General features: G+C 54.7%; 3 annotated features.

Annotated features, from left to right (window-relative positions):
- Positions 5,288-6,487: an enhancer, noted in NCBI's record as "MED14-independent group 3 enhancer chr8:143896321-143897520 (GRCh37/hg19 assembly coordinates)". NCBI's record gives its function as "activates an origin of replication core promoter dependent on BRD2, BRD4, P300/CBP and CDK7 cofactors, and independent of MED14, by STARR-seq in HCT116 cells {active_cell/tissue: HCT116}" and the evidence as "EXISTENCE:reporter gene assay evidence [ECO:0000049][PMID:35650434]".
- Positions 5,288-6,531: a biological region, named in NCBI's record as "MED14-independent group 3 enhancer GRCh37_chr8:143896321-143897520".
- Positions 5,695-6,531: an enhancer, noted in NCBI's record as "H3K27ac-H3K4me1 hESC enhancer chr8:143896728-143897564 (GRCh37/hg19 assembly coordinates)". NCBI's record gives its function as "activates a minimal SCP1, AML or CMV promoter by ChIP-STARR-seq in primed H9 embryonic stem cells {active_cell/tissue: H9 hESC(primed)}" and the evidence as "EXISTENCE:reporter gene assay evidence [ECO:0000049][PMID:30033119]".

A 13,173-nucleotide genomic window follows, 5' to 3' on the forward strand; every position in this document is an offset into this window, starting at 1 on the left:
GCTTGTGTAGATGGCACACCAGGGCACAGTGAATCCCAGAAACTCAGTATGGGCATCAGCTGGATTTTACCCCGTGCACACCACGTGCACCCGTGCACAGTTCTCAAACTGTCGTCTATATTCTTGGGAGTGAAAGCTGTTTTTCCTTCAGCAGAAGGCTCTGACAAATGCTCAACTCAATGATTTCTCAAAAGGCCTTTTAGGAGCAAGATTCTGCAGCCCCCACAAGGTGGGCGTATAGGAGAGGGGCCATCCTTCTGGGCTCTCAGGGAAGGCTCCGAGGGAAGAGCTGAGGGCAGGGGCTGCCCTGGGCTGGGCTGGGGGTGGGCGTTGGAATGAAGCCTTGCCGCCCACTGCCAGCTGCCCTACTGCCAGCTGCCCTGGCTTCCTCTGCCTGGGGGAAGGCTTGGGCCATTCCTCTTTAAGCTAATCAGGCATTTTACAAGCCGAGTCCGAGTCTTTTATAAGCTAGGTGTTCTCCAAATACAGCCCAGGCTTTCTCTCAGGGCCATAATTAATGGGGCCTCCCCAGCCTGGCATTAGACTCAACTCCCTAGGGTGGCTGAGAGGGGACTCAGGGATGAGCAGGGCAGGTGAAGGAACAGGGGCACGGGTGAGGTTCCACAGGAGCTACATCCCAGCAAGGAACCTGCCAGCCCGGAGGAGCTCGATCCCGCCTACAGGAAGGGACCTGGGACCCCGGTTAGGAGCCCTAGACCTCTGAGTGAACCAGTGGATGAGTCCTGCTCCCGCTCCCTCCCTCTGAAAGCCCTTCCCTCCCTCCAGCCCTCCCTCCACCCCTCTCTCTTTCCCACCCTCCAGTTTTCTCTGCCCTCCTTCCTCCTTCCCTTCCTCCACCCTATTCCCTCCCTTCACCCCTCCAACCACTCATTTTTCTTTCCTTCCCTTCACGCCTCCCTCCACCCCTCCCTCTTTCTCTCTCTCTTTCCCTCTCTCCACCCCCCCCTCTTTTCCTCCCTCTTTCTTTCCCTCCACCCCTCCCTTTTTCCCTCCTTCCATCCTTCCCTTTCTCTCAGCCTTGCCTCTCTCTAGCCAGTGCAGGGGGCAGGGGCTGGAGGGGCATTAGACCCAGGCCCCAGAATTGCAGTGGGCACATGCCAGCCACACTGAGTCTCTAGAGATTTTCAGGACCTTGTTCTCTTCATGCCCAGTTCGGTAGCTGGAAACCTGCATTCACCTCATAGCAGCCTCTAGCCAATGGGCGGAGGGCATCCCTGTCCTGTCCTCTAGCCAATGGCGGAGGGCATCCCTGTCCTGTCCTCTAGCCAACAGGCGGAGGGCATCCCTGTCCTGTCCTCTAACCAATGGGCGGAGGGCATCCCTGTCCTGGCCTCACAGTGAGGAAGCGCTTCATAGATCACAGCTCAAGGCCCACTCGGGCCACTCCTCCTCCACCTGATGCCTGCAGAGCCCCACAACACCTCCTTGAGGCTGCCCAGGGCCCCTTACGCCCTCTGGGGCCCCCCAGTCACTGGCCCAGAGTGGGTGAGGCCCAAGTGGTGCCCTAGTGGCATGAGCTTGTCCGAGTAGAGGAGGATCCTGGGAGTGTAGCCAGTGCCACCTCCCTGCCCAATTCACACAGGGAAAACTGAGTCCGGGTGCAGGTGGAGGAGTCAGGATTTCAACTAAGGCCCCTAAGCCGGCAGCAAGCGCAGGAAAGGAGCTGTGCTGGGGACTCAGATGCTGGCGTGGGGCTCCCGTGCCCATGTGCCCCATGAGGGCCCCTGTGCCAGGGGAATGTGGGGTCACTCGGGAGTTCACGGCCTGGGCTCGAACCAGAGAGAGGACGCAAGGAATCCCAGTTCCTTCCGCAGGGAGAGATGGGGCCACCTTGAAAGGTATCTACACCCACCAGCCCCAGTTCAGGTCTCAGCCCCACTCATGCCCATGCTGTGGGGTGTTGGGCCAGCCCCTCAATCTCTCCAAGCCTGCAATTGGTTGTCTGAAGAAAAAGAGTGACAGCAATGCTGACCAGCACAGAAGGCTGCTCTGGGGTGGGCTTAGCGGTGGATGGGGAGGCCCAAAACCCAGCCAGCAACCAGCAGTGCCCACCCAGCACCCGTATCTTGACTCCTGACATCCTTCTTCACTCACAGGAATGAGCACTACTTGGAGAAAGGGCTGATTCTAGGGATGGAATGCGGGAACACAAGATGAGCCTGAAGTAGTTTTTTTTTGTTTTTTTTTTGAGACGGAGTCATGCTCTGTCACCCAGGCTGGAGTGCAGTGGCGTGATCTCAGCTCACTACAAGCTCTGCCTCCCGGGTTCACGCCATTCTCCTGCCTCAGCCTCCCGAGTAGCTGGGACTACAGGCGCCTGCCACCACGCCCAGATAATTTTTTGTATTTTTAGTAGAGATGGGGTTTCACCGTGTTAGCCAGGATGGTCTCGATCTCCTGACCTCGTGATCCACCTGCCTCGGCCTCCCAAATTGCTGGGATTACAGGCGCGAGCCACTGCGCCCAGCCAAAGTACCTTTAAAAACAAAACAAAACCAAAACCAAACTTCTTTATTGAGATATAATTCATTTCATGAAACTCACCCATTTAAAGTGAACAGTTCAGTGGTTTCAGTACTGCATAGTTGCAGGGTTGTGCAACCATCACCACAATCTAATTTTGGGATGTTTTTACTCCGAAAAGAAACCTGTGCCCATCAGCCGTCAGTGCCAGCTTCCCTGCTCCCAGCCCCTGGCAACCCCTGCTTCACTTTGCCTCCGTGTGAATTTGTCTGTTCTGCACTTGTCATGCAAAGGGGATCATATACTATGTGGCCTCTGTGTCTGGCTTCTGTCCCTGAGCACCAAGTTCTCAAGGCTCACTGCCTTGTTGCCTATGTCAGTGCTTGATTCCACGGAATGTACTCCATGTGGATAGAGCACATTTGTCTATCGGTTCATCAGTTGAAGGACATTTGGGTTGTGGAAGACCATGTGGGGCCAGAAAAGAAGAAAATCCTAAAAAAAAGACCCAAAATGATGCGGACTGTGAAAGGAATAGATCAGGCAGCTGAAAACCCTTCCAATGGCCAGAGCTGGAACAATTTGAGCAGCAAAATAAATAACAGTATTGGATTATACTCCTGTGCATAAAATAAATGTTTACAAGTCCATAATGATATCAATAAATGATTGAAGAAAGAAGGATATTGGAAAGAAAAGACCAATCTTCTGCATAAGAATTCCAAATAATTTACATAGATACTTTGCTTGAAAAGGTGGAGCTTAAATTGCCACTCCTCAGATGTGGCTGCACTTAGTGACTTCCTTCCAACCATGACAGCATGGAAATAGGGTGGGGGAATGTATGAGTGTGTTTTCACGCTGCTTAGAAGGCATACCAGAGACTGGGCAATTTACAAAAGAAAGAAGTTTAATGGACTTACAGTTCCACGTGGCTGGGAAGGGCTCATAATCATGGCAGAAGGCAAGGAGGAGCAAGTCATGTCTTACAGGGATGGCAGCAGGCAAAGAGAAAGACCTTGCGCAGGGAAACTCCCATTTTTAAAACCACCAGATTTCATGAGACTTATTCACTATCATGAGAGCAGCATGGGAAAGACCTGCCCCCATGATTCAATCACCTCCCTCCAGGCACCTCCCACAACATGTGGGAATTCAAGATGTGATTTGGGTGGGGACACAGTGAAACCGTATCGGGGAAAAAACAGGCTTCTCCTGGTAGGAGAGAAGCCTGGCAGATACAACACCATGGAAGTGGTCAAGGTCAGCATCAACAGTGGTGAATCCCAGTGTCAGTGCCTACTGTTGATGTGGTGACAGAAACAGTGATTCACTTCTGCTTCAGTCTTCTCAAAACGACCATCCCAGTCTAACCACCAGGAAAACACCAGGCAAATTGAGAGACACGCCACAAAATATTCAACCAGTACCTCTGAAAACTGTCGAGGTCACGAAAAACAAGGCAAGTCTGAGAAACTGTCACCGCCCAGAGGAGCCTCTGTAAACATGAGTATGTACCACACAGGCTCTTGGAGGGTAATAGATGAGAAAAAGACATTAGGGGAGAATGAAGCCAATCTGAATCAAGTGTGGATTCAGCTCATAATAATGGGTCAATATTGGTTCATTAATTGTGACAAATGGACCACAGGAATATAAGATGTTGAAATAGGGATTTCGGCTGGGTGAGGTGGCTCACGCCCATTATCCCAGCACTTTGGGTGGCTGAGGTGGGAAGATTACTTGAGCCCAGGAGTTTGAGACAAGCCTGGGCAACATAGTGAGATCCCATCTCTACAAAAAAATGGCAAATTAGCCAGGCATGGGGGTGCATGCCTGTAGTCCCAACCACTTGGCAAGCTGAGGCGGGAGGATCACTTGAGCCCAGGAGGTTGAGGCTGCAGTGAGCTGTGATTGCACCACTGCACTCCAGCCTGGGCAACAGAGTGAGACCTTGTCGAAGAAGAAGAAAAAGAAGGAGAAGGAGAAGATAGCAATAAGGATATCTGGGTGTGGGGAATATAGGAACTGTCTGTACTATCTTTGGCAACTTTTCTGTAAATCTAAAACAATTATAAAAGTAATAAGCTTCTATAAAAAATGTGGCAATGCCTATAGAAGTGAGGGGCTCGATGGTGGGGTTTGTGTGGCTGGCAGAGCTCTTCAGGGCAATCGCCACACTTCCTAGGCCACATGCTTAGAGCAGCTGTTCTCCTGGTCCCCAGAAGACCACATCTTGGGTCTTGTTTGCCATGCAGGCAGTAACATTCTGTCTTTGGTAACCTGAAGAAGACCTGCGAATAGCTTGTCTCAGGAGATAAAATGCCAAGATAATGAAGCTAAGGCCACAGGTCACGCCCTTCAATCATCATTGCACAGTAGACGTTCTCACAGGCATGGCTTGCACCTAGACCCTGGTCACACCCTGAGCCCTGACCCTAGACACACACTTAGGTCTGACCCTGGCTACACACTGAGCCCTGATCGTGCTTCCACTCTGTTTTGACTCTGGACATACATTGAGCCCTGATCCTGGATATATATTGAGCCCCGATCCTGGTCACACACTGAGCCCTGATCTGACACTGAGCCTGGATTCTGATCACATACTGAGACCCATTCCCACACTTTGGGTCATGCTGTCACACTATATATGACTCTGGACACACATTGATCTCTGACTGTGGTCACAGGCTGAGTCCTGAATGTGACCCCACACTGTGACCTGACTCTGGACATAAATTAATGCTGATCTTGCTGTAAAAATTAAGTAATTCGAAATCAAAGCTGTTGGAACTTTAAATTATTTTGAGACTTAAAGGAGTGTGACTATAAGACCTGAATCATGTAAACAGGCAGCTGTAACCTTTGTTCTTCTCATTATAGATTAGCCTCTTCTTTACCTGCATCATTGTGCAGTATGTTGTAAAAGACAACAGGGTGCCAAAGAAGACCACTTTCCCTCTTCACTGTTGATCTCTTTATACACTGACTTCCCTTTTACTTCTCCCAGACAAAGACTTCACGACTATCACGTTGTCTAAGATGGAATGTTAAATATACTTTTAAACTGGAAAAGGAAAACAAGTTGTAATCAAATTGCTGTATCTCATAAACTGGCCTTGTACGAAAAAAAAAACATAAGCCTGTTAAATGTCTTTGTTTTATCTGTCTAGAAAAGCAAGACCTTAACTTTCCAGCTTCGGAGCACTGACCTCATTCTTCTAGGGTCTGTGTTACCTGGATGGTCATTCTTAGCTTTGCACTTGAATAAATTTAGACTGGATTCTGATCCTTTCTATTATTTCGGGTTGCCATGGCTCACATTCTCAGCCCTGGCCCTGGTCATAGTGATTGGAAGATGTATTAAGATCTAGGAACAGAGTTTGGGGGAAGCAAAGGAATGCCAGTTTGCTCAGAGACACAGAGCACTTCACAAAGGGATCAGAGAGCAGCTGGGGGCTCAGGCTGATGGGGCTCTTAAAGGGGCATGAGCCGGGAGGCACCGGGAAAAAGCTGGGCATTGCAAGGTGCCCCAGCACCTGCTCTTGGCCATCCTGCTTCTTTCCCTCTTTCCTTCCCACCCAGAACCTTGCCCTGCAACCCCTTTCTCCCTGCTGCCTCTGGCCTCCTGGAGCAGGGAGTACACCAGCTTTTGGAAACCCATTTTGAAGGATCCCAGCCTCTGGGCTCCAGGCTCACTGAGTGTGGCACACAGCTGCACCATGAATGCTTGCCCAGGCATGTCCAGGCTGGTCCCTCCCTGAGCTGTGCTGGCTCCTTTGGGAGCAGAGACTGGGGCGGGGAGGTGGAGGACACAGATGATTCACTCTGGGTTCCCAGGCAGGCTGGGTGCACATGTTTCCAGCTGATCTGGTCAGCCAGGAGCCAGGATGCAAGGATGCCTGTGTTCCTGAGCGTGGGGTGTGGCTGGTATTTTCCAGGAGCAAGGAGGTGGCAAACTGGATAAACAAGGGTGTCTAGGCTTCTGTCTCAGCTCCCAGCAGGCTGCAGGGCTCACCCGGGACAGCTCAGTTTGCCTTCCCTGCAGACTGGGGCTGAGCCATGCCTTGCTCCTGCAGGGCCTACAGCTGGGGGCACTGGAGGTGGCCCGGGAAGGGTCATTAGGAGCTCACCAGCCAGGCAACACCCGCAAGGGCTTCCATCTCCGAACACACTGTCTTGAAGTTCTCTGCCCGCGAAGTGGGGTGGAAATTCAGCACCCCCCCGAGCAGAGCCTGGCCGTGAGATAGATGACTTGCCCTGTTTAAAGCGGTGCCCAGGGACAGCCTCCACGTCACCATCACTCAGGCTCCCTCTTGCAGCCCCTGCTGGCAAAGTGGAAATGTGGCTTGCAGAGTTGCATCTGAAGCCAAGCAGAGGGTGGGAACGGAGCCAAACTCATAACTGAACCACCAGCACCCCCGCTGGGCAGCCCCGGCAGTGCACCCTCGGGGTCCTTCAGCGGAGAGGAGCTGGCCCCACCTGCCAGCCCCATGGTGCTCCCAGCCAGTGATGAGGCATGGCGGGGGCTGCTCCTCTGTGGCCTCCTATTAGGGCAGCTTTGGCTGGGATGTCTCTGAGGCCAGCCGACATCTCAAAATGGCCCCGCCATCCAGGAGGCCCCCTCCTTCCGCAACTGTCAGAGCTATGCGGAGTCCCACAGCTCTCGCCTCCCACTCCTGTTCCCTCTCATCCTTCACAGGCTTTTCTGGCAAAATGTTCTTGCACATAGAGTCCTGCCTTGGCATCTGGTGTGAACAACAGAATCCAGTACACCCAAAGCCCCTCTACAAGACAGCCCCCATCTGCTCTGCAGACGCCCCCGGCCTCAGCCCTGCACCTCTTCCTGTCTCACACACATATACGATACACACACACTCACACACACACAAAATACACTCACACACACAAAATCACTCACATACACAAGACACACAGACGTGTACTCACACACAAGCACAGGGACACACGTACACACATACCCACACATGTACACACGCACACATTCACACAAAATACACACAGACACACATTCACACACATAGACGTTACTTACACAAGCACATGCACACATGTACACACACTCCCACACATGCACACTCACACACAGACATGCACTCACAAGCATATGCATACATGTGCACACATATGCACACTTACTGATGTGCACTCACACACAATACACAGACACACACACGCACTCACACACAACACACACACAGACTGCACTCACATGCACATTCACACACATTCACAATACAGACATACACATGCACACAGGTACATTCCCGCACACGCACACTCACACAGTGCATTCATACAGTACACTCACACTCGGACAAGCACTCACACAAGCATATTCATACGTACATCTACTCACACACGTACACACACAAGCACACTCACATCAGTGACACACACTGGCTCACATGTGCACTCACACATAACACATCCTCTTTCACACATGCACTGACATTCACTCTCAAACATTTGCACACACACACATTTACATTTACTCACACACACATTTACATTTACTCACATACAGTCACATTCACACTCACATTTGCATGTGAACACACCTGTAAGCACACATACACTTGTGCACACACCTGCACACTGTTTGGACTGCACTCACACACCAACCCCAGAGTGCACCAGGCTTGGTCCAGCCCCCCGGCGCTTCCCCCGCGACTGACCGAGGCTGGTGTAGGAGGGAGGGAGGAAGCTGTCCTGCCTCCGGAGGGGAGATGAGGGCCATTCCAGAGCTTAGCTGCTCCGCTGCCTCTCATCAAGAGCAGGGCCAGGGAGGCCCAGCGGCTTCGGGGAGTCAGATTCGGTGGACCAGGCAGGAGGAGGGTAGGACCTGTGGCTCCCCTGCCACGACCACACTGTGTGCTGAGGTGCCTGGCTCTGGGCTCTGGCAGACCAGGTTTTGCAGTGTGGGCTGCATGGCCATCTCCTTCCTCTCCTTAACATTCTTTTTCCATGAAGTGGGAATCATGATCCCTCCAGCCCTAAGTTGTCCCCAGAATTAAAGGGGCATGTGTGTGTCTGGCAGAGTCCTGGGACCAAGGAAAACCCCAGAGAAACAGGGGGACGGTGCTGTGAAAAGGAAGTGTTGGCTGTGAGGGCCTGATCCAAGTCACCTAGGAAGATGGGGGCAAGAGGGACCCGGGCCCAGGGAGCCGCGGAGCCGGGGAGGATGGGGCGGAGGAGGTCTGTGGCTGGCCGGCTTGCACCAGGCCTCCTCTGCTGCCTGCCCACTGCTCCCCAATGCTGGGCAGGACCTCGAGTTTCCTCACCTGCAGGATGGGACCACCCCACCGGCCTCTGCTCGCCTCTCCTTCTCCTTCCCAAACTGCGCAGCTCTCAGCACCCTCTTCGTACCACTCCCAGCACCCAGCAAACACATCTAAAACAGTGTAGCACAGCTCACAGGCCCTGGCACGCTGTGGGGGCTGTGACGGGGCCCAGCAGACCACGGGGACGACGAACATCATCAGAGAGTAACCTGCAACCTGGCCATGCTGGGTCCTCCTGGGGACCTGACTAGCAGGAGGCACCCTTGAGGTCTCGGTGGTTCTGGGGCCCACAGGCTTCAGATCTGGCCCATCTCCCATCTTCCACTCTTCTCCACGGCTCACTTTGCCTGAAAAATAGGCTAATGCTGCCTGCTCTACTGGCCAGCTGGGGAGGCTCTGTTGGTGAAATGAGAGCCCATAGGCTGGAAAGTGTTTGAAACATTTGAAGGCCCAAGTCTGGAGGGCAGGTCCCAAGGTCCACTCAGATCCTGAGTTCATTGGCTCAGCCTTGGGGCGGGGCTCTCGCTCCCGGAAGGGGATCTGCCTGGTGAAGCCCAGGGCAGTGGATTCAAGTCTAAGTCCGCCCCTGTGGATGTGGGGCCTGAGCGAATCACTCAGCCCTCTCAGAGGCCCTCATGAGGCTCCCAATTTCTGGCCTGCCAGGGCATGACCTCCCTGGAGACCCTCACTCCAGACGCCTAGAAGTCAGTGACCCTGCAGCAAGAGGGAGAGGAGCCCACAGCCAGGGCTGCTCTGATGGACGCCACAGGGCCGTGCCGACCCATGGCCCAGACTCCTTTTAGCAAAGGCCTCCTCTAGAAGTGTTTGCCAAGTGCTGGGGGTGGTAAGAAGGGGGTGCCAAGAGCTGCGCAGTTTGGGAGCGAGAAGGGGTGGGAGAACTGAGAGGGGCTGGGTCCCAAGGGGCAGTTGTACTGAGGAGGAGGCTGCCGACAGCGCTGGGCCCCCAAGCCTCTGCTGGGCTTCTGGGAAGCAAACGGCTAAGTGTCCTGTTCCCTGTAGCCCAGCTAAGAAAGACCCTTGAGGGAAGCAGGCAGCCACAGAGGCTGCACAGTCTTGGGAACCGTGGCACAGCCCAGGGTGGGCCAGGACAGTCCCCGTGCCCCTCACAGGCCTGGGGAGGGTAAGGCAGAGCCCATCAGGCTGTCCCCAGAGACCCCAGCTGCCTCCTGGGCCAGGAGACAGGAGTCGTACAGGTTGGCTAGGGGAAGCCCTGGGGGAGATGGGCAGGAGGAGGACGTGGCTAAGAGCTGGGGTGGGTGTTGCGGCCTCTCCAGGAGTATTCTGGAGAGAATTTCCTAAACGGAACAGGCTCTGTGAGGCCACCCACACTTGCTGCCTGCTGGCGACCCCTGGAGTGGCATCCCCCCTCACACTTCTGTGGGACCCTCAGACACAGCCGTCGCCATTGCTGAATGACCGTCGCTGGCCACACGGGCAGCTGGACCATGGCCACAACTCACCGAAGGGCCAGAGGCACGACTCACCGAAGGGGTAGAGGTGGGATGCTGCCCACTGGTGGGAGGAGAGTACAGAGATGGACTCTACCCAGTTGCGACAAATTCAGGAGTTTCCCGAAGGGACTGCGACCTCTGTAGGCAAGGCCAAAACATCTAGGGGAGGCCGGGCGCACACCCCCTGGACCAAGGGTGTGACCCAGGGCTGGCGAGTGGGTACCTGGGTGGGTCTGCCAGGTGGAGAGCCGGCCCTGTCTGCCAAGGGCCCTGAGGGCAGGATGTGGTCTGCCGGACAGCACGTCTGCTCACAGAGGGACCACCTCAGGAGGGCTTTCTTCTGAGCAGTTGTGCTTCCTGTCCTGAGCACCTTGGGGAAACTGAGGCAGGAGGTAGTGTGGAGCGGTGAGTATCTTGGCAGGGGTGCCTCTTCACCAGCTCACGCCGCAAAGCCTGCCTACCCCAGCCTCCAGCCCTCATGGGCCTTGGAACCCCTCCGGGCATTTCCACAGCCCACCCCCAGGAAAGCCTGGCTCACAGGTAACCAGAGCACACTCCTATCACAGTGAGTCCCACAGCACCCATGCCTGGATGCTGGCCAAGCTCAGGCGCCTGCCACTGCCACTGGCTGTGCCCTGCCTGCAGGTCTCCCTCATTCTACCCTCTCCTCAGATTCTCTCCTCTGCCTCCTCCAGGAAGCCTCCCGTGACTCCACCCAGAGCCCTCTTGTCCCTGAATTCCTGGGGTTCTTTTGGCTTTGGGGATAAGTGGGTGTGGAGCTGTCGTGTCCCTAGGTGCAAGCTGGACCGGTGCCCAGCCTCCCCGATGGCCTTCTTAGGGCCCACCCTGCAAACCTCTGCTTTATCTTCCAGATACAACCTCACCCATGAAGGGAAGGCCACGCCTGCATCCCTTAGGGTCAGAAGCCAAGACGCCCTGCAGGCTCTGCACCTGACTCTGGAGCCTAAGATCCCTAGAAGCAGGGCAGTGCTGCCTCCCTACAGCTTAGTCCTGCCCATGGTGGGTCCTTGGTTCAGCCATTCATTCATTCCCTCCCCTCCCCCCTGCCCCATGTCATAGACAGGCTGGCTGGGCCCTATGCCGGGGCTGGGCCAAATCCTGTATGTGCAGAAGGACCCCGTGAGAGCCTGCCCACAGCAAGGTCGGTCAGAAGGGATGGCTGAGACACAAGGGGCAGGGTTTACAGCCCAGGTGGGGGCAGCAGCGTAGGGTGCAGGAGCCCAGAGGGAGGGTGCAGGGCCATCCAGCAAGGCCAGCCTGCAGAAGGCCGTTCCTGCCCAGTCCAGGTGCAGAGCCTTACTAGGACCTGGGAGAGCAAAGGGACAGGCAAGGTCATACCTGCGGGGGTGTGGAGCTCCTCTGCTGGGCCTAGATGTTGAGTTCATACCCCTTTGCCAGGTTGGGAGAGGGCATCGGCTGGGGACAAAGCGGGTCAAGCAGGTATGAGATTACCCTTGGATCTCTTCCTCCTGCAGCTTGGAGGATGCCAGCAGGGGCCGGCGTTGAGGAGGCCCTCGGGTGGCATCACCAGCATGGCTCTGAGGGTCTCTATTTCCAGAGCTCTGCATCTGTGAGCTCAGGCTCCCCACCCAGTCAGCGAGGGAGAAGGCAGGCCGCTCCTCAGTGGACACATGCCAGTGGCCTCAGGTCCCATTGCTCCACCTCTCGCAGTGGAAGGCCACCCCCAATGTGCTGAGTCCACTCAGCAGAAGGGAAGCGCTTTCCCTGAGCTTGCAGGACTCAGCCCAGAGCCCGGTGCTTAGAGGGCTCTGTGAGCCTTTGGGCCCAGGGGGCCTGTAGACGCCTCTGGAGGCTGGAATGTCTGTGGAAAGCACCACCTTGCTGATTCTGCCGCAGAGGCTGGGCTGGCATGTGGGCTGGGGCTTGTCCTAACACTGGGACCCTGGCAGGTCTCTGGGGTTGCAGGCAGGAAGCAGGTAAGGCTTCCACACTACAGCCTGTATGAGGTTGTGTAAGGTAAAGCATTCATGTATTCATTTGCTCGGCAAGTATTCATTTACTTCCTACATGCTGGACACTGTGCTGGGTATTTGCCACAGTGGCCTTGACTGGCATCCACAGGGCCAGCAGCTTAAGGGCACACAGCCTGGGGGCCATGGGGGTGGTAAGAATGTGGGCCTGAGATGGTGGGAAATGGCTCCTGCACGGAAAACATGCTTCCCGTAGTCCCAGGCAGCTTAGAAGACCTACTGATGAGCATCGAAACAGAATCCTGCTCCTAAGCCTGGCTGTGCTCTCCCAGTGTGAGGTCTTTGGTTGCCGTCCATGTCATCGTCCTCCTCCTTACCACAGGGGCCCTGGGCAGCCAACCTTGGCAATACTCATGCAGATCTAATGAAACCATGCCCACAGACACCATCTGTGCCCCTGCCTGGCTACCTCATGCCTGTGCCTGGTTGGAGGCTGCACATCTTTGGCTGGGGTTTGCTCTTGGCCTGGATTCCATTTTCTCCCAGCAAGGTAGGTGTGTAGAGGGGGTGTTTTTCTAGCACTGATGCAGTGGCTGGCATGTTTCTTCATACATGGCATGTGGCATTAGCAATTTAAATCTCCACCTCTGGGTGTGATTTTTAGCATTAAAATGAGGAAGGGGTAACTCCAGGTTGAAATTTAGGTCTAACTACACATGTGGGGCTTCAGGGAAGTCCCTAGCCCCCTGCTTCAGGGGGCTGATTGGCTGAAAGTTAGGTGAGCTAGAGCTTGAGTAAGGGGCTTTGTTTTTCTCCCCTAGGCCAGATCACCACAGGAAGCCAGCCAGCCTGCTTCATTCCCCCTGAGAGATTTCATCTTCATTTTAAGGGGTTTTGGGCAAAGGTCTCTTCTTCTGGAGCTACTTCCTGCTGAGGCGAGTGTCATTCCTATATCCT

This window comes from Homo sapiens, chromosome 8 (assembly GCF_000001405.40).
Source record: "Homo sapiens chromosome 8, GRCh38.p14 Primary Assembly".
NCBI lineage: Eukaryota > Metazoa > Chordata > Mammalia > Primates > Hominidae > Homo > Homo sapiens.